General features: G+C 44.4%; 1 protein-coding gene across 39 annotated transcripts in view, besides 1 other annotated feature; it reads right to left on the bottom strand.

The window, feature by feature from the left end:
• The window catches only part of APLP2 (amyloid beta precursor like protein 2), a 74,912-nt gene that overhangs the window by 37,583 nt on the left and 14,704 nt on the right, over nucleotides 1–22,625 (bottom strand). The gene's annotated exons all lie outside the window — the stretch shown is intronic.
• Nucleotides 842–1,042: a silencer, noted in NCBI's record as "peak1513 fragment used in MPRA reporter construct". NCBI's record gives its function as "represses an SCP1 promoter by STARR-seq MPRAs in K562 erythroleukemia cells {active_cell/tissue: K562}" and the evidence as "EXISTENCE:reporter gene assay evidence [ECO:0000049][PMID:32103011]".

The following is a 22,625-nucleotide window of genomic DNA, read 5'->3' as shown; positions in this document are numbered from 1 at the left end:
TAAAATTCCAATAATTTTACTTAATTTACCCACAAAAGAAAATTTTCTGAGCAACTACTATTTCGCAAAGCAACATGCTAAGTGTTTAGGATATAAGAGTGGGCAAAAAAGTCATGACCTGCTTTCTTGGGGCTCTAATGCAAGAGTTAAAACTCACAAAAAGTGTGACCACATTCCCAAATGTCTTAAGAAGGAAAAGAACACAGTGTTGAGAAAGCACATAAAAAAGGAATCTGGGCCGGGCGCGGTGGCTCACACCTGTAATCCTACCATTTTGGGAGGCCAAGGCAGGCAGATCACGAGGTCGAGAGTTCGAGACCAGCCTGTCCAACATGGCAAAACCCCGTCCCTACTAAAAATACACAAATTAGCCAGGCGTGGTGGCGGATGCCGGTAATCACAGCTACTCAGGGGGCTGAGGCAGGAAAACTGCTTGAACCCGGGAGGCAGAGGTTGCAGTGAGCCGAGATTGCACAATTGCACTCCAGCCTAGGCAAGAGAGCAAGACTCAAATCTCAAAAAAAAAAAGGAATCTGACCTAAGCTTGGGTAGGAAGCTGATCAAGGAAGCTTCCTAAAGAGAGTGACAGCTGAGTAGCGCTTTAAGCATCCCATATGGAGGCAATGTTGATTTTGAGGCAGAGAGATGGTGGGAGAGGCATGCCGGGACAAGAGTCTGCAGACCAAGAAAGGACTTCAGTCCTTACCACTGAAGTGTTGAGAGGCTTTAAGCAGAAAGTTACTATTTTCATAACAAAGCTCTGATGCTTTCTCTAGTTGCACGGTGAAGAACCGACTGAAAGGAAATGAGTGTATGCAGGGAAATCATTCAGGACACTGGAGGTGCACATTCCAAGAGAGGAATAAATGGTAGCTTGGGCTAAGGTGGAGTGGTGGATAGAGAGATTCAAGAAACCACAGAGCCTAAAATAGGCCTAGGTGTGATAACTGATATGAGGGATGAGGAAGAGGAAGGTTCAAGTTTGGCTCCCATGATTCAAAATGTGATGGCATCATTCATAAACACAGAACACTAAAGGGGATTTCATGAACAATTTTCTCTCATGTTGGGTAAAAATAATCAACTATTCCATAAGATCTGTCTTTGGCCCATATCCTTTTATGTGCAGTCTAACCATTAACAGCTCAGAAGCTATAGCTGAGAAGTAACATTACAACAGCAAGGCTCCTGCAGACATGCACGAGAAAAGCACAGGCATCGGCCGGGCGTGGGGGCTCACATCTGTAATCTCAGCACTTTGGGAGGCCAAGGCAGGCAGATCACCTGAGGTCGGGAGTTCGAGACCAGACTGACCAACATGGACAAACCCCATCTCTACTAAAAATACAAAATTAGCCGGGTGTGGTGGCACATGCCTGTAGTCCCAGCTACTCAGGAGGCTGAGGCAGGAGAACTGCCTGGACCCGGGAGGCAGATGTTGCGGTGAGCAGAGATCACACCATTGCACTCCAGCCTGGGCAACAAGAGCGAAACTCCATCTCAAAAAAAAAAAAAAAAAAAGCAGACAGAAAGACAGGGAGAGAGAGAGAGAAAGAGAGAGACAAGCACAGGCATCTCTCTAAAAACATCCATTACTCGTGGTTATAGCCATAAGAGTCCCCAACTGCAAAACTTTCTTCAAAATTAAAATAAATAAACAAATAACAGTTCTTAAGTTAAAACTTGTAGAGGAGGAGGGTTAGATTATATGGTCTACCATGTTGTTCTTTTCAAAAACAGCATATACATGACATGGTTTTCCTACTAACAAGAAAGGGTAGCTTTGATGCCCCCACCCTTTTTTTTTTGAGACAGGGTCTTGCTCTGTCACCCACGTGGAGTGCAATGGGGCAATCTCAGCTCATTACAGTCTCGACCCCCTGGGCTCAAGCCATCCTCCAGCCTTAATCTCCTGAGTAGCAGGGACCACAGGCATGCGCCATCACACCCAGTATACACGTATTTATATTTTGGTAGAGATGGGGTCTCATTGTGTTGCCCACGCTGGTCTCAAACTCTTGGGCTCAAGTGATCCTTCTGCCTTGACCTCCCAAAGGACTGGGATCCTAAGCATGAGATACTACGCCTAGCTGACTTTTAAAATATGTGGAAAATGTATGATTTTCTAGGAAACTTTAATTTATTTATGCTGATGAACTACACAGACATGAACAATCCTTCTAATCAGTAACTTAAATTTGATTGTGAAATATATTATGGTCTTTTTCCAGGACCAATTTACCATCTGACATATGTTTTGCTTCGAAGCTTATTAAAATGAACCTGCTTTCTACTAGTATAAGAGAAGGAAGCACCAACCCTTGTTGGACAGCTGGGAGAAAGCTAATTTGGAATTAAAATGTTGCCAATATCTATCAGGGCTGAAAAACACCTCAGTTAAACCCAACAAACAATTAGCACCTTTATTAACTAGAATTGACTTTACCCTGCTGGAACGAATATTCATTTATTAAAGTAGAAGGCCCTATGCCTTCAGTATGAATGCACGTGAAGCTACAGACTAATATGAGTTCCTGCTTCCCCCAAAGAAGGAAAAAACACCTAAAGATATGTGTAGGAAGGAACACACACCTATTCATAGGTAATACTCTAGTGGTGCTTAATTCAAACAAATCATTAAAAGGTATAAAGGATGCACAAGACAGATGTGCTTAATCTTCACACTTAGTTCAAGATGCATACCAAGCCCGGCACGGTGGCTCACACCTGTAATCCCAGCACTTTGGGAGGCTGAGGCAGGTGGATATCTGAGGTCAGGAGCTCGAGACCAGCCTGGCCAACATGGTGAAACCCTGTCTCTACTAAAAATACAAAAATTAGCCAGGCATGGGGGCGCGTGCCTATGGTCCTAGCTACTTGGGAGGCTGAGACACTAGAATCGCTTGAACCCAGGAGGCAGAGGTTGCAGTGAAGCCGAGATTGCGCCACTGCACTCCAGACTGGGCAACAGAGACAGAGAATCTGTCTCAAAAAAAAAAAAAAAAAAAAAAAAAAAGATGTGTACCAAAAGTCCTGTTCTTTTGTAATCTAAGGATTATGGCTAGAAACTTGGATTGTGTGTCGAGAAAAATGGGGATATCCAAAGATAAAGGTAAGGAAACCCCAGGGATATTTTCGTGTACTGAAACCAGTGCTCTCCCCCGAATCCTTTGCTTCCCACTTCGAAAGTTCAGATAGAATTAAATGAAGAAAATCCAAGAAGACATGATAAATACGTATATGAAAAGCCCAATCTACAGGTCGGAAGGAATGTGCTTCCTAAACCTGCTACGAATGAACTCCTATAGTTAAGTCTGAAAGCTTCTGAGCAGTGTTTCCTAGATTCCCTCTGGCCTTCTATATTTTTACATTAAAGACAGCTACTAAACAAATCAGATTTCAGGTGGTATTTAATCTGTCAGCAGTTCAGCCTGCAGAAGGAGAAACCATTTACCCCTTAAATTCCAAAAGTGAATATAGCTAAGAAACAGTAATTAGTTACATGAGGTCACCCAAGCCACAGCGTGGAATGGTCAATTTCATCGTAAAAAGCCATTTATCAGCACCAAAGATTATGTTCCACATGTTACTCATTATGGTTGTTGGCTAAAAGACCGCAAGAGTTCCAACTGTATAAATGTTCAGTTTATGGGTCAACCACTAAGGTCAACACATCAGCGCTAAGTGCATTTCGGCTCTGTGCTGAGATGGTCAGTACTATCTTCCCTAAAGAGAATCTTAAAATACCAGAGGTTAAAGCAACAGGAAGAGGCAGCTAAGCACCAACAGATCCTCACATCAGTTACCACCAAGAAAAAGCAGAGAAACTGGAATCAATCCAGACAGCTAATATGCTGTAGTGATTCACTTTTGAGTTCAGAAAGATTAATCCTTGTGGTCTTAAGAGACTCTCAAGAAGGTATCATCGGAAATATAAAAAGCCTCTGTGGACCATGTTTTAGGAGTCAACTAATCAAACATACCCCAACCCTACCTAGGGTGTAAAAGGCTAATTTTTTCTGTAATGTTTGTACTTCTACCTTGAAAATGCCCTTATTTAATGTGCTGTCCATTTCCTTAAGCACAGACTGTGCCTTGATCCATTACATCAACATATAAATCAATCTGTTTCCTAATCTAACATGTTACAAATGGGATTTTGCTGCCAAGTCAGCACTTCTGATATCCTGTAAACCTGGAATCCTCTACCAAAAAAATTAATGCCCCATGTGTTGGCACTGAAGCCAGTCCTTGTGATCTATGCATACTGCAGCACTTTTAAGGCTTGGAAAACAAATTGCATCAACTGCTTCCCTAGCCCAGCACTTCCATTTTGCTTAATAATTCATTCTTAATAAGAAATTCCATTTTATTAATTTGGCTTGGGGAACAGTTTAGCAATCCAAGGACAGAAATTCAACTTGGTAAAAAGTGCTTCTAGTAACTTGGTCGAAAACCTGAAATGGCTTAAGGAAATAAATATGTAAATCTAAATAAATCTAAGTCTCAACCTACTTTAAATCAGGGCCTTTAATCACCTCAAGTGATGCAACTCCTGGGCTCATCTAAGCCTACCTCCCTTCACAAAGCCCTCAGGACCAGGCAGTCCTCTCACTCCAAAGCAAACGTGCACACCCAGTTATCTCTGCCCTCATTGAAGCTACTATTCCAGGATCAAATCTGGCTGCAGGGCTTCTGAAGGTGCCTGCCATAGAGGGAGCATCTTCCCATGAACATGGTTTGATCCCACTAGTGGAAGAATCAGGTCTCTTTGAAAGGAATCCGGCTTTATGAGACACACGAGTATTCAAGTTTCACCCTGCGAAGGCAATGTAACACAGTTCTAGTTCTAATAAACGCGGAATGAAGCAGGCCTTCGAGGCATCTAGTTACCACTAGCAAACTACTGATAGCGAAAGGTACGACGCTCTTGTTCAAAAACCTTTTTTAAGGAAAAGTCAGTAAAAAAGGACCATCTGTTAAAAGATACGAAAATCCTATATATTATTTTCATTCATATTTGTTCAAGCGCTGAAGTACTTCAAGGTTCACAAATTAGAACAAATTTATGTTCATGAACCTTCACCAAAGATTTACTAAACTGAACGAAGTGAAAAAAAAAAATTCTGTTCTCAGTATCCTTTCAAGGTATCTCCCCAAAGATATTAGCTACAAAAGGGAAAACAATTACTTGAGAGCAGAGACACACATCAGACACCTACATTAATCTCATCCACAATGAGACATTTGAGGGTGCTGATCAGGAAAGACCGGGGACTGCAACAGATCTGAGAAGACTAAGCAGAAATGACAAGTAAATGCAATGCAGGCGCCTGGACAGGATCCCGGAACAGGAAAAGGACATTAGTGGAAAAACTGCAGCAATTATTTGAATAAGGTCTGTAAGTCAGTTAACAGTGCTGTGCCAGTGCAAACCTCCTGGTTTTGATCATCGCATTACGAGTTATGCAAGATGTCAACATTAAGGGAAACAGGGTTACAGTATAGGGGAACTCTTGTAGTATTTTTGCAACTTTTTTTAAAGTCTAAAATTTGTTCAAAATACAGTGTTTTTGAATTCTGCTTATTATATGCCTAGATTTCAATCTGGAATGCATCGTTTCAATATTAAGAGTCTCATCTGTCAAAAAGAGAACACACAATTTGAGGTAGCACAACTAGTAAGTAAAATCGGAACAGGCTCAATACCTGAAAAGTGTATTATTCTAAACACACGGGCTGGGCGCGATGGCTCACGCCTATAATCTCAGCACTTTGGGAGGCCGAGGTGGGCGGATCACGAGGTCAGGAGACCGAGACCATCCTGGCTAACACGGTGAAACCCTGTCTCTACTAAAAAAAAAAAAATACAAAAAATTAGCTGGGCGCGGTGGCGGGCACCTGTAGTCCCAGCTACTCGGGAGGCTGAGGCAGGAGAATGGCATGAACCCACCAGGAGGCGGAGCTTGCAGTGAGCCGAGATCACGCCACTGCATTCCGCCTGGGCGACAGAGCGAGACTCCATCTCAAAAAACAACAACAACAACAAAACACACGGGTACACATCCTAATACAGTAAAGCCCCATTGTACACATATTAAATTCTATTTTTCTGCAATTGGAAGACTATCACGATTCTGACCCAGAGCCTAATGTGTAAGAAATGCCACATTTTTTTTTTACTGTCCAAACAGTGACCACAGTTTGAAACTTTAAGAGTATCTTTTTCAGCAGCAGAGAAGTGAAGCTTCAAACCACTATCTAATAAAATAGCAGGATTCTTGTTAAGCATTTTCCGGTTGTATAGCAGTAAAATGAAAAAACCTATTATTTAGAGTTTGCATTACATGAATGGAAAATTCTTGGTCTTTTGATTTTTTAACATTTAAACTTAATTCTAATTAGAAACTGGTGAACTGGGTGTAGGGGGAAAACTCCAAGTGTAAAAAGACATTATTCTTACAGTGACATATGCCGGCTGTTAGGTATTATTTTCACAGACAGTAATTTATACAAATAACTCCAGCTTTTATTAGAGCTTTAAATATTAAAGTATAAATGAGGTATCATTTCCAAGATTGAAAATGGTTTAGGCTGTCTCCAACGCTTTTTATGGAAACATGGTAATTTGTCCATCTGGATTATAGTGGTAAGGAGCCAAACATCATGATTTAATAGAGGTCTGTCTTTCAGTATGTGTCTCTGACATGAGAGCTAAGGGAAGTTTTTTCAAAATATACAAATACATAAAATACTTTCATGTAAAAAAAAAACCACGCAGAACAGTGTTTACACACCTGAAATTCTCAAATGAACAGGTTCTTCATCAGTCCCTGTGTTTTTTTTCTGATTGCCCATTATAAAATAGGAAGTCCATGAAACTTATTTCCAGGGGGTATGGAGACACTAGGGACTGGCCTCGGCCAACCATTACTCTTCTACTCACTGTACTACTGACCTGGGAGAAAGACCAAGAGTGTGGCTTTAAGGCGCAGACACACCATGACAGAGTTCCACCTCCATCACTGACTGGCTGTGCCAACTCTGGCAGGTCACCTAGCCTCTCTGGGCTTCACTTTCGTCATCTATAAGGTAATGACAATAATAACTACACATCAGTGCTGCTCTGACGTTTAAATGAGTTAATATATGTTAAGTGTTTGAAAAGTGTTTGTCACATAGAAGCGCTCTTCAAGCATTGGGAGCTTTCATTATTACCAGGTTTTAATTTTTTAATCTACAAAACAGGGTTATTAACATACCGACGGCTCAGGCCTGTTGTGAGGATTCGATTAAAATAACACGCAGAACCACTGAGCACAATGCCTGCCGCAGAGCAAGCACGTTAGCATCACCATCATCATCAGGCTGGCTCTTTCCACTCTCTGGCTGCAATTGCGCAGAACTGGGGCTTGAACCCGAGGTGCACAAGGGAAGAGGCCACAAAGTCCCCACATGACTGGCCATCCTTCCCAAATCCAGGATGGCATGAAATGGGTTTAAAAGAGTGCACATTCCTTCTTCACACATTAACTATGGACATGAGGAAAGCAGGTTGCATTAATGCTTCATATTTTGTGGGAATTCAGTCACCAAACGTTTAGATGAATGATTTAATACATTTAAAAGAAAATGGCCAAGAGTTGCTGACTTCCTGGCTCTAGCCCAGCTTCCGGGACTTGGAAGTGAAGTCAAGATGAATCTGCAACTATCAAAACACTTCTGTGATCAGAAGAGCACTATGTAAATTATTTTTCTAAACTGGTTTTCCTGATGGACATTCTGCTTCCTTGCTATGTAATCTCATGGAAGTTATTTAATCTCTCTTGACCTTAGTTTTCACTTTTGTGCAACATAAATAGGGTGCTACTCAAAGTTTAGTTATTAAATGAGACACCTACAATATTAACTTTTTTTCACACTATAACAGATGGAACTCTATTTTCCTAAAACTCCCCATGCAGGAGAAACATGGCTTAGAAATGAAGATGGCCTCCCTCACTAAGTCAGAATTCACTGTGACTCCAAAGCAAACCAGACATTTCTCATACTTTGTCAGGCATGCTAACTGCAGAGGTCAGGAAGGCAGGAGGCCTCAGAATTAATATAAGATGATCTAAATGGTGTGAAGTTGGGCTTAACATTTGAACTCACTGGCCAGCATTACTTAGGCAGTTATTAAGAGTGTGCTGACTAGTACGTGCAGAGCAGGGGTGGGGGGATGTAGAAGGATATGTTTTCTAAACCTTAAAAGAGTGAAATGATTTCAAGTAACACTCAGAAGTACTACTCATTAAATATTAATAATAAAATATGTTTATTCTAAATCATTCTTATTGATTCAGATGACAGAAATAATACAAATGATGAAGGGTTTTCTGTAGAATATCCAAGCACAAACCTGGCAATACTCTCAGAAATTATAAGCTTCCTCTGGCTGACCTGGTACTCTATGATATATACTTTGTTTTTATATGCATTAAGCCAGTCACTAAAAATCAGATTAAGCATAGTTTGAGTATTTCATGTACTTGTAAAAAATTACACTTCTTTTTAAAATATTCCATTTTTCTGACCAACTATTTCACTAAATAAACACTTGAATTAGTGATTTTACCAAGGCTAAGTTGAGAAACTATCCAACATGCCAGCTTTGGCTGAAATGCTGTAACTGACTTCAAGAGGTTAAAACCACAAACATGAATAACCAATGTCAGAGATCTGAAATTGACTTCACTAGATCTCTTTTCCTTTAACGTATCTGGGAAAAAATAAGAAAACAAATTCATGCAACTGAAAACATCTTTTTTTTTTTTTTTGAGACGGAGTCTCCCTCTGTCACCAGGCTGGAATGCAGCGGTGTGATCTCAGCTCACTGCAACCTCCGACTCCCGGGTTCTAGCAATTCTCCTGCCTCAGCCTCCCAAGTAGCTGGGATTACAGGCACGTGCCACCACACCCGGCTAATTTTTGTATTTTTAGTAGAGATGGGGTTTCACCGTGTTGGCCAGGATGGTCTCCATCTCCTGACCTCATGATCCGCCCACCTCAGCCTCCCAAAGTGCTGGGATTACAGGCGTGAGCCACCGCGCCCGGCCAAATATCCATGTTTTAATATATATGATGATTTTTGCCAGTGTTTTAAAGCAGGGAGGGGTCCCCAGCATCCACTAGGGGACTAACAGGGTCTACAAAAGGTTTCCAGTGGCCCCCCTGAAAAATGAGAAACCTAAGAAAGGTCTAGTGTGCATGTGTTGTGCACACATCCACGCGTAAGGGTACAGAACTGCTAATGGTCCTTGCTGAAGAATAACTGTCCTGAATTCTAACATTATCTTCTACCTTTTGTTATTAAAATGGTTTCATAAAATGATGGCAACAATCAACAGGTAGCTGCTTTTTAAAAATTATTCTTCTGTAATATTAACCAAGAACAACCTTATCTATTTAAAACATTTTTCTTAGTTCCATTATTCCATAAAAACCAAACACTGGAAATCACAGGTTTAGGTTTTTCTTGTGGGTATTTTGTTGTTGTTGTTTCTGAGCCAGAGTTTCACTCTGTCGCCCAGGCTGGAGCTCACTGCAGCCTCAACCTCCCAGGATCAAGCAATCCTCCCACCTCAGCCCCACAAGTAGCAGGGACTACAGTCACACACCACTACACCCGGCTAATTAAACAAACATTTTTTGCAGAGACGGGGTCCCACTATATTGCCCAGGCTGGTCTTGTACTCCCAGCCTCAAACAATCCTCCCTCCTTGGCCTCCCAAAGTGTTAGAATTACAGGCATGAGTCGCCATACCTGGTCCTTAAATTTCTAAGGTTCTGCTATGCTGAAAGGCATGAAATTCTTGGGTGAATAACCCATATCTTTGCTTATAACAAGAAAATCTGACAATTTGCCAAAATGATTTTCACAGGGCAGGGAGAGAGAAACTTTACACTTTAAATACAAATTTCTATAGTCATTCCGCTAAACATTTTATTAGGTGCACACAACACTCAGATATCAATCTGGATATAACAAATCAATTTAACTTCTAATGCCCATTAAAACCATGAAAATAACAAAAATACGAAAGTGCTCTACCCTTTCCAAATTCAAAGCAAGTTAAAAGACATCTTTCCTGTGATTTATGTGGCATTTAAATTTAAAAGTAAATCAGACTGTATTACCAGCTTACAGCAGATCTGCTTGCAGACAATAATTCTTCCTGTCTTGGACCCATGCCCATGTGCATTATTGTAATTATCAACAATTTAAAAAACTGAAGTAATAAAGCAAGTATGAGCCACTAGTCAGTATATTTACTGCTTGCTGCACTGGCTATTAGTTAACCTTCTGGGGTTCAAACCACCTAACTACTAATAAATGCATAAACGACAGCAGGAAAAGCTACCCTCGAGTAAAAAGAATGAATAAAAGGAATATAAACGTGTGTGTAAGCACACATGAACCTGCATGGTGTAAAATACAACAGCACCTTTTTTGGTATTTTTTAGAGACAGGGTCTTGCTCTGTCACCCAGGCTGGAGTTCAGTGGTGCAATCACGGCTGATTATAACCTTGAACTTCCAGGCTCAAGTGATCCTCCTGCCTTGGCCTTCTGAGGAGCTGAGACCACAGACGTGCAGCACCACACCTGGCTAATTTTTAAATGTTTTGCAGAGATGAGGTCTCGCTATATTGCCCAGGCTGGTCTCAAACTCCAAGTCTCATGCAATTCCCCAGCCTCAGCCTCCCAAGGTGTTGGGATTACAGGCATGAGCCACAGGGCCCAGCCTCAACAGCACTTTTGTACTACTTGTCAGGTGGGCACTGGGAGCCCTCCAGGATCCAGTCTCTACCCAGCACTCTGAATCACCTCAAGGCAGAACACACTGCTCTTCTATTCCAGAGAATTCAGAGTGGCTAATGTGGCTTGCAAGGCCCACCATGATGCAGCCCCTGCCACACTCCAGCATCCCTCCAGTCCAGCACCACCCTTGATGTCACAAGCCAGGGTCTGTCTCACCTCAAGGCCAACTGTCCTCTCTTGTTGAGGATGACTGTCCTGAATTCTAATGAACTCCCAGAACTCGAAGCCTTCCCCTGCTGTTCCCAAGCAAGTGTGGTGGTCTCACCCTCAGGACTCTGCTCAAAGGGGCATTCCGTGGAAGGCCTTCTCCTCCAACCCATTCCAGGTTTTATCTCTCTCAAGCAATCTGAAACGACCTTGCTCATTCATCTGCAGTGTCCATCTCCCATCACTAGAATGTGACTTCGTCAAGGGGAGAGGCCTCATGTATTTTCCTAACCACTGTTATCTGGGAACAGCCCCTAGCATGCAGTAGCTCATCATTTATACCCAAGTAAACAACTGACTCTAAAGTCTATGCTCTTGGTTTCTTCAAGATACTGCACTAAACTAGTATCAACCTGCAGGTATTTCTAAATCAACAGTGTACTAGTCTCCATACAAGGAGACCTACTAAAAGTTGACAAATTAAATGACAAAAAAACTTATGCAAGATGGCAAGTTTCCATTCTCTTAATTTTAATTTTTGTCAAGTGACTCCAAGCACACAGTTTGAGAAGCCACACAGTACAAGGCTAGAGCTCACACGAGAAGGACAGCTTCCACCCAAGTGGAGCCTGCTCTGCAGAGACTGTGCTTCCACAGCTATCAGGCCTTCCACCTGCTCTTTATCTCCACATTTCTACACAACATGTTTTATTTCTGTATCTTTTCAGTCCAGATATTATCCTCCAATGTTTTTAATTCTTAAACTGCCAAACCCTACACCCATCCACCCACTTGTCCCATGGTCAAATCAATACTTCATTTCCATTGTAATTATTACTTTTAAAGAAAGGTCTCTCTCTGTCACCCAAACTGGAGTGCAGTGGTGCAATGATAGGTCACTGCAGTCTCAAACTCCTGCACTCAAGCAATCCTCCGGCCTCAGCCTCCCGAGTAGTTGTAACTACAGACATGCCACACCACATCCAGCTAATTTTCATTACTTTTTTGTAGAGACAGAATCTTACTGGTGTTAGGCAATCCTTCCGCCTCAGCCTCCCAAAGAGCTGGGACTACAGGTGTGAACCACGCATCTGGTCTATCTCATTATAACATAAAAGCGTACTGTGATTACAATTCCTTTCTAGGCATCTATTTCCCCATTAGAGTAAGCAACTGCATCTTCTTTTACTTGCTTGGTTTCACACGCATTGCATTGACTACCAATTCTCCCTGAAATTGTCAGAAAAGATCAGTAAAATTCCCTTCAGTGTAGTCAGACACACTAGCTGACCCACTGGTTTCAGTCCCTCCTTTCTAGAATGCATCCCTCCTCTGGCCCTCCATTTCCCTGCTTCATCTGGACCAGTTACTCTCTCTGCCTCGGCACAGCTCTCATGAGTCCTGAAAATTCCTTCCCCTTTCTTTGGTTTTGACTCAGTACTTCCCTCTTTCTCAACTTCCTGTTTTAGTGGCTCACAGTGCTCCATAGCTTCCTAAGAAAGGGTGTGTGAATGGAAAATTCAAACATGACAGATCCCAAAAAGGTTTTTATTTTATGTACACGTCTTGTCAATAATTTGGATGAACGCTAAATTAAAGGCTGGAAATAATTTCCCTCAGAATTTGAGGTCTTCTAGCTTTCAGCACTGCTATTGATAAATCTAAAGCCAATCTTCCCAATCCTTTGTGCAGGTCTGGGTTTTTTTACATATAGAAGTAAATCCCGGCCAGGTGCGGTGGCTCACGTCTGTAATCCCAGCACTTTGGGAGGCCGAGGTGAGTGGATCATTTGAGGTCAAGAATTCAAGACCAGCCTGGCCAACATCGTAAAACCTCATCTCTACTAAAAATACAAAAATTAGGCCAGGCACTGTGGCTCACACCTGTAATCCCAGCACTTTGGGAGGCCAAGGCAGGCAGATCACCTGAGGTTGGGAGTTCGAGAACAGCCTGACCAACATGGAGAAACCCCGTCTCTACTAAAACTACAAAATTAGCTGGGCATGGTGGCGCATGCCTGTAATCCCAGTTACTTGGGAGGCTGAGGAAGGAGAATCGCTTAAACCCGGGAGGCAGAAGTTGTGGTGAGCCAAGATCGCCCCATTGCACTCCAGCCTGGGCTACAAGAGAGAAACTCCGTCTCAAAAAAAAAAAAAAAAAAAAAAATACGGCCGGGAGTGGTGGCTCACGCCTGTAATCCCAGCACTTTGAGAGGCCAAGGCAGGCGGATCACGAGGTCAGGAGATCAAGATCATCCTGGCTAACATGGTGAAACCCTGTCTCTACTAAAAATACAAAAAAAATTAGCCAGACGTGGTGGCACATGCCTGTAATTCCAGCTACGCGGGAGGCTGAGGCAGGAGCATAGCTTGAACCAGGGAGGCGGAGGTTGCGGTGACGTGAGATCATGCCACTCCACTCCAGCCTGAGCAACAAAGTGAGACCCTGTCTCAAAAAAAAAAATAAATAAAAAATAAAAGTTCCAAGATTTTCCCAATCTCTGGTATTCTGAACTTTCAACCTAACATGTCTTGGTGTGCTCTTTTCATCACTCACTGGCCTGAGCTCTCAGTGGCCCTGTTGGCCTGGACACACACAGTCCTGTGTTTCTGCTATTCTCTTTCTGAAATTCTCATTAGTTATCTCTTAGACCTCCTAGATTGACCTTCTACTTATCTTTTCTAGTTTCTTTTTGTTTTCTCCTTCTGGAAGATTTCTACTGGGGTCTTAGTTCTGCTTCCACATTTCTAATTTCCAAGAACCCTTTGTTATCTGAACGTCTTTAAATTTCAAACAATTACTTCATAGATGTTATGCCCCCTCTTCTCTCCTTTGAGGTAAGAACTTGTCTTTGTCTATTCCCTACATTGCCTTCAAGTTGCTTTTTCTTCTTGTTTTGTTCTCGTTCATGTTCAAGGTGTTCCTGAAGTCTTTGGTGATCCTAAGCCATCTAATTCACATTTAAGAAGGGAACACTAAGAAGATGGTTGGAAGTTTCTGGAAGTTTCCTGCACATGCACAAGGTCAAGAGCGGCCTTTGCCTCTCCAGGGAGGAATCCTTCAGTCAGTTCTCTGCCCCGGGCCTGGTTAGGGAGACTTTCACTGCTCAGTCCCTCACCTTCTGCTGGGCCCACTCTCCCCAAGTAAACCTCAAGTCTTTTCCTAGACTGCCAGGTAGGGAGGGGTATTCAGGGGGCTAAATGCTCACATTTAGTTTCATCTATGTCCCCTGGGGCCTCAGCATGTCTTCAGAGGCCCTGGTGCTTTCTATCTCTCAGATCTGAGTTTGCTCTGCAAATGAGGTTGCTTTTACTTGGCTCCTCCCGGCTAAGATGAGGTCTCAGCCTTTTCTGATTTGCTGGCTCAGTCTGTTTGCCATCTTCAAGATTTCATAGGCATCTCTCCCTTCCTGTTCTTTGTTAGTTTATTCATACGTTAACTGTATTGCAAACTAAGTGGTATTCTATCATCAAGACAGAGCTCCCTCTCCCTCCCCCTCCCCCTCCCTCCCCCCACGGTCTCCCTCTCATGCGGAGCTGAAGCTGGACTGTACTGCTGCCATCTCGGCTCACTGCAACCTCCCTGCCTGATTCTCCTGCCTCAGTCTGCCCAATGCCTGCGATTGCAGGCACGCGCCGCCACGCCTGACTGGTTTTGGTGGAGACGGGGTTTCGCTGTGTTGGCCGGGCCGGTCTCCAGCCCCTAACCGCGAGTGATCCGCCAACCTCGGCCTCCCGAGGTGCCGGGATTGCAGACGGAGTCTCGTTCACTCAGTGCTCAATGGTGCCCAGGCTGGAGTGCAGTGGCGTGATCTCGGCTCACTACAACCTACACCTCCCAGCCGCCTGCCTTGGCCTCCCAAAGTGCCGAGATTGCAGCCTCTGCCCGGCCGCCACCCCGTCTGGGAAGTGAGGAGTGTCTCTGCCTGGCCGCCCATCATCTGGGATGTGAGGAGCCCCTCTGCCTGGCTGCCCAGTCTGGAAAGTGAGGAGCGTCTCCGCCCAGCCGCCATCCCATCTAGGAAGTGAGGAGCGCCTCTTCCCAGCCGCCATCACATCTAGGAAGTGAGGAGCGTCTCTGCCCCGCCGCCCATCGTCTGAGATGTGGGGAGCGCCTCTGCCCCGCCGCCCCATCTGGGATGTGAGGAGCGCCTCTGCCCGGCCGAGACCCCGTCTGGGAGGTGAGGAGCGTCTCTGCCCGGCCGCCCCGTCTGAGAAGTGAGGAGACCCTCTGCCTGGCAACCGCCCCGTCTGAGAAGTGAGGAGCCCCTCCGCCCGGCAGCTGCCCCGTCTGAGAAGTGAGGAGCCTCTCCGCCCGGCAGCCACCCCATCTGGGAAGTGAGGAGCGTCTCCACCCGGCAGCCACCCCGTCCGGGAGGGAGGTGGGGGGGGGTCAGCCCCCCGCCCGACCAGCCGCCCCATCCGGGAGGGAGGTGGGGGGTTCAGCCCCCCGCCTGGCCAGCCGTGCCGTCCGGGAGGGAGGTGGGGGGGTCAGCCCCCCGCCCGGCCAGCCGCCCCGTCCGGGAGGTGAGGGGCGCCTCTGCCCGGCCGCCCCTACTGGGAAGTGAGGAGCCCCTCAGCCCGGCCAGCCACCCCGTCTGGGAGGGAGATGGGGGGGTCAGCCCCCCCACCCGGCCAGCCGCCCCGTCCGGGAGGGAGGTGGGGGGGTCAGCCCCCCGCCCGGCCAGCCGCCCTGTCCGGGAGGGAGGTGGGGGGGTCAGCCCTCCGCCCGGCCAGCCGCCCCGTCTGGGAGGTGAGGGGCGCCTCTGCCCGGCCGCCCCTACTGGGAAGTGAGGAGCCCCTCTGCCCGGCCAGCCGCCCCATCCGGGAGGGAGGTAGGGGGGTCGGCCCCCCGCCCGGCCAGCCGCCCCGTCCGGGAGGGAGGTGGGGGTGTCAGCCCCCCGCCCGGCCAGCCGCCCCGTCCGGGAGGGAGGTGGGGGGGTCAGCCCCCCGCCCGGCCAGCCGCCCCGTGCGGGAGGGAGGTGGGGGGGGTCAGCCCCCCTGCCCGGCCAGCCGCCCCGTCCGGGAGGTGAGGGGCGCCTCTGCCCGGCCGCCCCTACTGGGAAGTGAGGAGCCCCTCTGCCCGGCCAGCCGCCCCGTCCGGGAGGGAGGTGGGGGGGTCAGCCCCCCGCCCGGCCAGCCGCCCCGTCCGGGAGGGAGGTGGGGGTGTCGGCCCCCCGCCCGGCCAGCCGCCCCGTCCGGGAGGGAGGTGGGGGGGTCGGCCCCCCGCCCGGCCAGCCGCCCCGTCCGGGAGGGAGGTGGGGGTGTCGGCCCCCCGCCCGGCCAGCCGCCCCGTCCGGGAGGGAGATGGGGGGGGTCAGCCCCCCCGCCCGGCCAACCGCCCCGTCCGGGAGGTGAGGGGCGCCTCTGCCCGGCCGCCCCTACTGGGAGGTGAGGAGCCCCTCTGCCCGGCCACCACCCCGTCTGGGAGGTGTGCCCAACGGCTCATTGAGAGCGGGCCAGGATGACAATGGCGGCTTTGTGGAGTGGAGGGGCAGGAAAGGTGGGGAAGGGATTGAGAAATCGGATGGTTGCCGTGTCTGTGTAGAAAGAAGTAGACATGGGAGACTTTTCATTTTGTTCTGCACTAAGAAAAATTCCTCTGCCTTGGGATCCTGTTGATCTGTGACCTTACCCCCAACCCTGTGCTCCCTGAAACATGTGCTGTGTCCACTCAGGGTTAAATGGATTAAGGGCGGTGCAAAATGTGCTTTGTTAAACAGATGCTTGAAGGCAGCATGCTCGTTAAGAGTCATCACCAATCCCTAATCTCAAGTAATCAGGGACACAAACACTGCGGAAGGCCGCAGGGTCCTCTGCCTAGGAAAACCAGAGACCTTTGTTCACTTGTTTATCTGCTGACCTTCCCTCCACTATTGTCCCATGACCCTGCCAAATCCCCCTCTGTGAGAAACACCCAAGAATTATCAATAAAAAAATAAATTTAAAAAAAAAAAAAAAAAAAAAGACAGAGCTAGAACTAGAATACTCCACCAGCATCTTTTGACGCGCAACAATTCAACAGCTACTATGAATATACTGGAAAACTAGAGATGGGAAAGTATTCCCAAGATCATAAGCTTTTATTTGTCATAAACATAACTTTGAAGAAAATAAAATTCTGACCCTTTATTCAAAGATCATTTCACTTGATTACTTTACAGTTATGTCAGTCAACACACTAGCCACTGGGTCTTATAGGTTGAATAGGGCCTCAAATTTCATTTACTGAAATCCTAGCCCCAAATACCTCTGAATGTGACCTTATTTGGAAATATGGTCACTGCTGATGTAAGTGGGAGGAGGTCATACTGGAGCAGGGTGGGCCCTTAATCCAATATGACTGGTGTCCTTCTGAGAAGGCGAAATGTGAACAGACAGACATGCATGCACACAGAGGGAGCGCCACGTGAAGATGGAGTTACGCTGCCAAAAGCCAAGAGCGAGGCCTGGAACAGGCCCTTTGTTAGTGCCTTCAGAAGGAGTCCAGTCCTGCTAACACCTTGAACTGGGACTTCTAGCCTCCAGAAAACCAGAAAAGTGAAACAATAAATTTCTGTTGCTTAAGTCACTCCATTTGTGGCATCTTTGTTACAGCAGCTCTAGCAAACAAACACACTGGGTAAACAAGACTCAACATGTGTATTTAGGGAGCATATATACTCTGAGACAGGATCCAGATGTAGAGAAACAGGATTACAATGTAAGGTGCACGCTGTGAATGTGAGGTGAGGACATGGAGACAGTGAGCATGCTGCAACTGAGAAGAGCTGTAACAGAGGCATGCACGGACTTGGCACAGGAGAGCGACAGCTACGGAGGATGAGGGGCTGAGCCTTCAGAACTCTTCTCCAAGGAAAGTGTGCTTGGGCTCCCTTCCAGCGTGTGCATGACCCTGCTATGCATACTTTGGAAGGTAGGAGGGTGTGATCAGGAAAGATGAAGTATAGAAAGGAGACCAGTTAGGAAGCCACTGCATTCATCCAGGCAAAAGATGATGAACAAAGGCAGGAGCAGTGTGAATAGGAAAGTGACAGATGAGAAATACTTGGACAGGGGACATGAAGGAAGGATTGGAATGAGTCCAGCTTTCTAATTCTGACAACTGGGAGAATGGCAAGGCTAACAGCCAAAGAAATTGGACGGGTGGTAGGGAGGGGGCTGAGGATTGGAGACTGATAAACTTCAGTTTTGAGTGGCATCATACTGGAAGGACTCACAGCTTACCAAGTGCCGCGTTTTTTGTCCACCAGACAAAAATAGAGGATGGGCATTCCAGAGGGTAACGTGAGCTGGAAGTAAGGATTTTCTATTCATTACCAGGCTGGAAGAATTTTAAGCCTAGAGATTAGGCAGAACCACCTGGGGGAGACTGTGCAATGTGAAAAAAAGAAGGCCGTCCCTATTTTCTACAGGTATATTATTAATATTATAAGTTGGGAGTCTATTTCTGAACAAATATCAAAAGAAAAAAAAGGACACAAATTATGACTGAGATACTTAAGTTTTTAACAACATTTTATTTTATTTTTCATATTATTTTAAATGTTGTTAAAAACTTAAGTATCTCGGTCATTCTGGAGTGTTTTCTTCATGGACTAGACTGCCTGAGGTCTCAAAATTTAAAGTTAGTGAAGCAGAGAGAGAAGATGACATTTGCTTTTCCTGGAAAACTTCTCTGGAGCAAGCATGAGTATCTGGTGTTGCTTGCTCTACAAACCTTCTTATTTCCTTCCAGTTTATATGCCTAGATGATTCGCATTGCTAATTCATTGTACATGAAGTCCTCAATCATGTCAAGAATGAAGTCAGAGATTTTCCCAAAGATAGACTCTTCAGAGGTCTGTTACTCCCGATTTCAGTTAACTTATTGGAAAACTCTGTTTCCTTACCAGTGCTTGCAGCCTTCCCTGAACAATGATTTTCTTAAAATTTTATGGTTTTTTCCCCCCTGGAACAATCAAACCATCCTTTCCTTGTCCTAAAATTCCTTCCTTTGATGACTTACAGATATCACCCAGACCAAGTTTAACCAATTATGCTGAGTGAATGGGGTAATTTTGGGGCCATCTGAATTCAAGTTACAATAATATGCCTCATGCATCCACATTTTGTGACAAGTTCAGCATCTTCACTGACTACACATACACAGGGAAAACTACATGTAAAAACTGTTTGGCTGGGAGCTTATCAGGCTTGAGTCTGTGCTCTGTATTTAATCTTTTAAAAGCAATACTTAAAATATTTTAATCTGATTTTAATCTGTCCTGAATACTATTCCTATTGTTTAAAAACAACACTAACCAACATTGAGTTTCAATGACTTTTATCAATTCACAAGATTAATCTTGCAAAACAATAGCCCAGCAGGATTTTTTTTAATGTAGATCCTGAGGAAGCTAATCAAGCCGCAAATAATCATTCTTCTAATAGGAAGTGGCTAGACGGAAAAACATTCTACAGTATTACACAGAAAGCCTCTTCAGAAGAGGATAAGGGGCAGGGTGGAGTCCAACCAATCGCAGGGCCATTCTGCTATGAAATGTGGTTTTTGGTTCACTTGAAACCTGCCATGGTGTTAAATATTTACTACAAAAGATCATTTCAAACCAATGTTCTCTTTTCCTCGTTTTCAACAAAGGTTGAAAACTCAACTGCCTCTACATCACAGACAGGGAATGGGGAGCTAGAGGGTAAGACCAAAATGGAGACCCATACTCAGCCCCCTCGAAGAGACCACAGGCTCTCTTCACCAACTGAAGCGGGGCTGCCACTACTTAGCCCCTGCTGCCAGATGTTCTAATTTCTTTAAAACCAGAGCGGAATTTTTATATTAAAACCCATGATCTTTGGAAATGAATATATTTACTTTGAATTTAAGACACAAGGAAGGTCAAATGGTAACAGCCAAATAAAACACAAGGACAGGTCACATTCTGCCTGCAGACTGCAGGTCTTCAACCTCAACTTTAGGTTACGTACTAGGTATCACAGTGAGGACGCTGATGACAGTTACTCTAAAAGAATAAAATTCACCAAACACCTTACACTCAAAAGCCATAGTGTAAACTAAAAGTAATTGTATTCTGTTAATTACTAATTTACAATAATTAACTTTAAAGCTCTATGGCATTTGAGGGTTAGAAGACAATACTGTTATGACAAGACTACCTAAAACAATCTACAGATTCAATGCAATACTTAATAGCCCAACAGGGTTTTGTTTTGTTTTTTCACAGAAACAGAAAAATCCATCTTAAAATTCATATGAAATCACACAATCTTGAGACGGAAGACTCATACTTCCTGATTTCAAAACTTACTACGAAGCTACAGTAATCAAACAGTGTGATATTGGCATAAAGACAGACATTTGGAATAGAGAGCCCAGAAATAAATCCTCACATGTTTGGTCAATTGATCTGCCAGGACAATTGAATGGGGATGCAACAAATGTTGCAGAGACTGGATAGCAACTTGCAGAAGAGTGAAGCTGGACCCTTACCTTAAACCATATACAAAACTGAACTCAAAATGGATCAAAGACCTAAGCTTAAGAGCTAAGACTATAAAACTCTTAGCTTAGAAGAAGACTTAGGAGAAAAGCTTCATAACATTATATTTCACAACGATTTCTTAAAAATGACACCAAAACTACAGGCAACAAAAGAAAAAAATAGATAAACTGGAATTCATCAAAGTTAAACTTTTGTGCATCAAAGGACACTATTGAGAGTGAAAACACAAACTGCAGAATGACAGAAAATATCTACAAATCACATATCTAATTAACATCCAGAATATATAAAGAACTCCAACAATTCAACAATAGCAACAAAACAATCTAATTCGAAAATGGGCCAAAGACTTCAACGGACATTTTTCCAAAGATATAAAAATGGTCAACATGAAAAGATACTCAACATCACTAGCTATTAGAGAAATGCAAATCAAAACAATAAGACACCGCTCCACGCCCATTAGGATAGCTATTATTTGAAAAAGGAAAGTAACTGTTGGCAAGGATGTGGAGAAATTGGAACCTTTGTCCACTGTCAGTGGGACTGGAGAACAGTAAAGTCACTGTGGAAAACAGTTTGGCAATTTCTCAAAAATTTAAGCACAGAATTACTATATGATCCAGCAGTTTCACTTCTTAGTAAATATCCGAAAGAACTGAAAGCAGGGACTCCCATATCTACATGTACGCCAATTTTCATAGCAGCATTGTTTACAGTAGCCAAAGGTAGAAACATCCCAAGTGCCCATTAACAGATGAATGAACAAAATGTGGTATATATGCACAATGGAATATTACTCAGTCTCGAAAAGGAATGGAATTCTGATGCACAAGCCTTGAAAATATACTAAATACACCAAACTCAAAAGGACATATTTTATGATTTCACTTACTTGAGCCCCAGAATAGGCAAATTCATAGATCACCAGGGGCTGGGGGATCCAGGGGAATAGAAAGTTAGTGTCTAATGGGTACAGGGTTTCTGTTTGGATGAAAAAGTACTGGAAATGGACAGCGGGGATGGTTGCACAATGTTGTGGATGTCCTTAATGCCACCGAATTGTACACTTAAAAACAGTTAAAATGAAAATGTTCCCTCTTCAATATTTTGGAAGACTATGAGAAGGATTAGTGTTAATTCTTCCTTAATGTTTAGTAGAATTCTCCAGTGAAGTCATCTGGTCCTGAGCTTTCCTTAGTTCGAAGTTTTTTTTGTTTTGTTTTGTTTTTTGGTTTTTTTTTTGAGATGGAGTCTCGCTCTGTTGCCCAGACTGGAGTTCACTGGCACAATCTCAGCTCACTGCAACCTCTGCCTCCCAGGTTCAAGCAATTCTCCTGCCTCAGCCTCCGGAGTAGCTGGGATTACACACACCTACCACCATGCTTGGCTAATTTTTTTGTATTTTTAGTAGAGACGGCGTTTCGCCATGTTGGCCAAGCTGGTCTCAAACTCCTGACCTCAGGTGATCAACCCACCTCGGCCTCCCAAAGTGCTGGGATTACAGGCATAAGCCACCGCACTCAGCCTGTTGGGAGGTTTTTGATTACTGACTCAATCTTCTTATTTGTTACTGATCTGCTCAAGTTTTCTATTTCTTCATGATTCAGTCTTGGTAGTTTGCACGTTTTTAGAAATTTACCCATTTCTTCTAGGTTATCCAATTTTTTGGCATACAACTGCTCATAATAGTCTCACGATACTTTTTATTTTCATGGTATCAATTGTAATGTCTCCTCTTTCATATCTGATTTTGTGTCTTCTGTTTTTCTTAGTCTAGCCAAGGGTTTGTCAATTTTGCTTATCTTTTCAAAAACCCAACTCTTTCTTTGATTTTTTTCTATTGTTTTTTTCTATTCTGTTTTCATTTATTCTGTTGCAAATTATTTTCCTCCTTCTGCTCACTTTGGGATTAGCTTATTCTTTTTCTAGTTTGAGGTGTACAATTAGGCTGTTTGAGATCTTTCTTATTTTTTTAATGTAGGCATTTACTGCTATAAACTTCCCTCTCAGTGGTGCTTTTGCTGCATCCCAAGGGTTTTGGTATGTTGTGTTTTCATTCGTTCAAAACATCATCTAATTTCCCATTTGATTTCTTC

The sequence above is a fragment of the Homo sapiens genome, chromosome 11, assembly GCF_000001405.40.
Source record: "Homo sapiens chromosome 11, GRCh38.p14 Primary Assembly".
NCBI lineage: Eukaryota > Metazoa > Chordata > Mammalia > Primates > Hominidae > Homo > Homo sapiens.
Note: the sequence above shows the minus strand (reverse complement) of the source record. Positions and strands in the feature narration are given on the sequence as shown.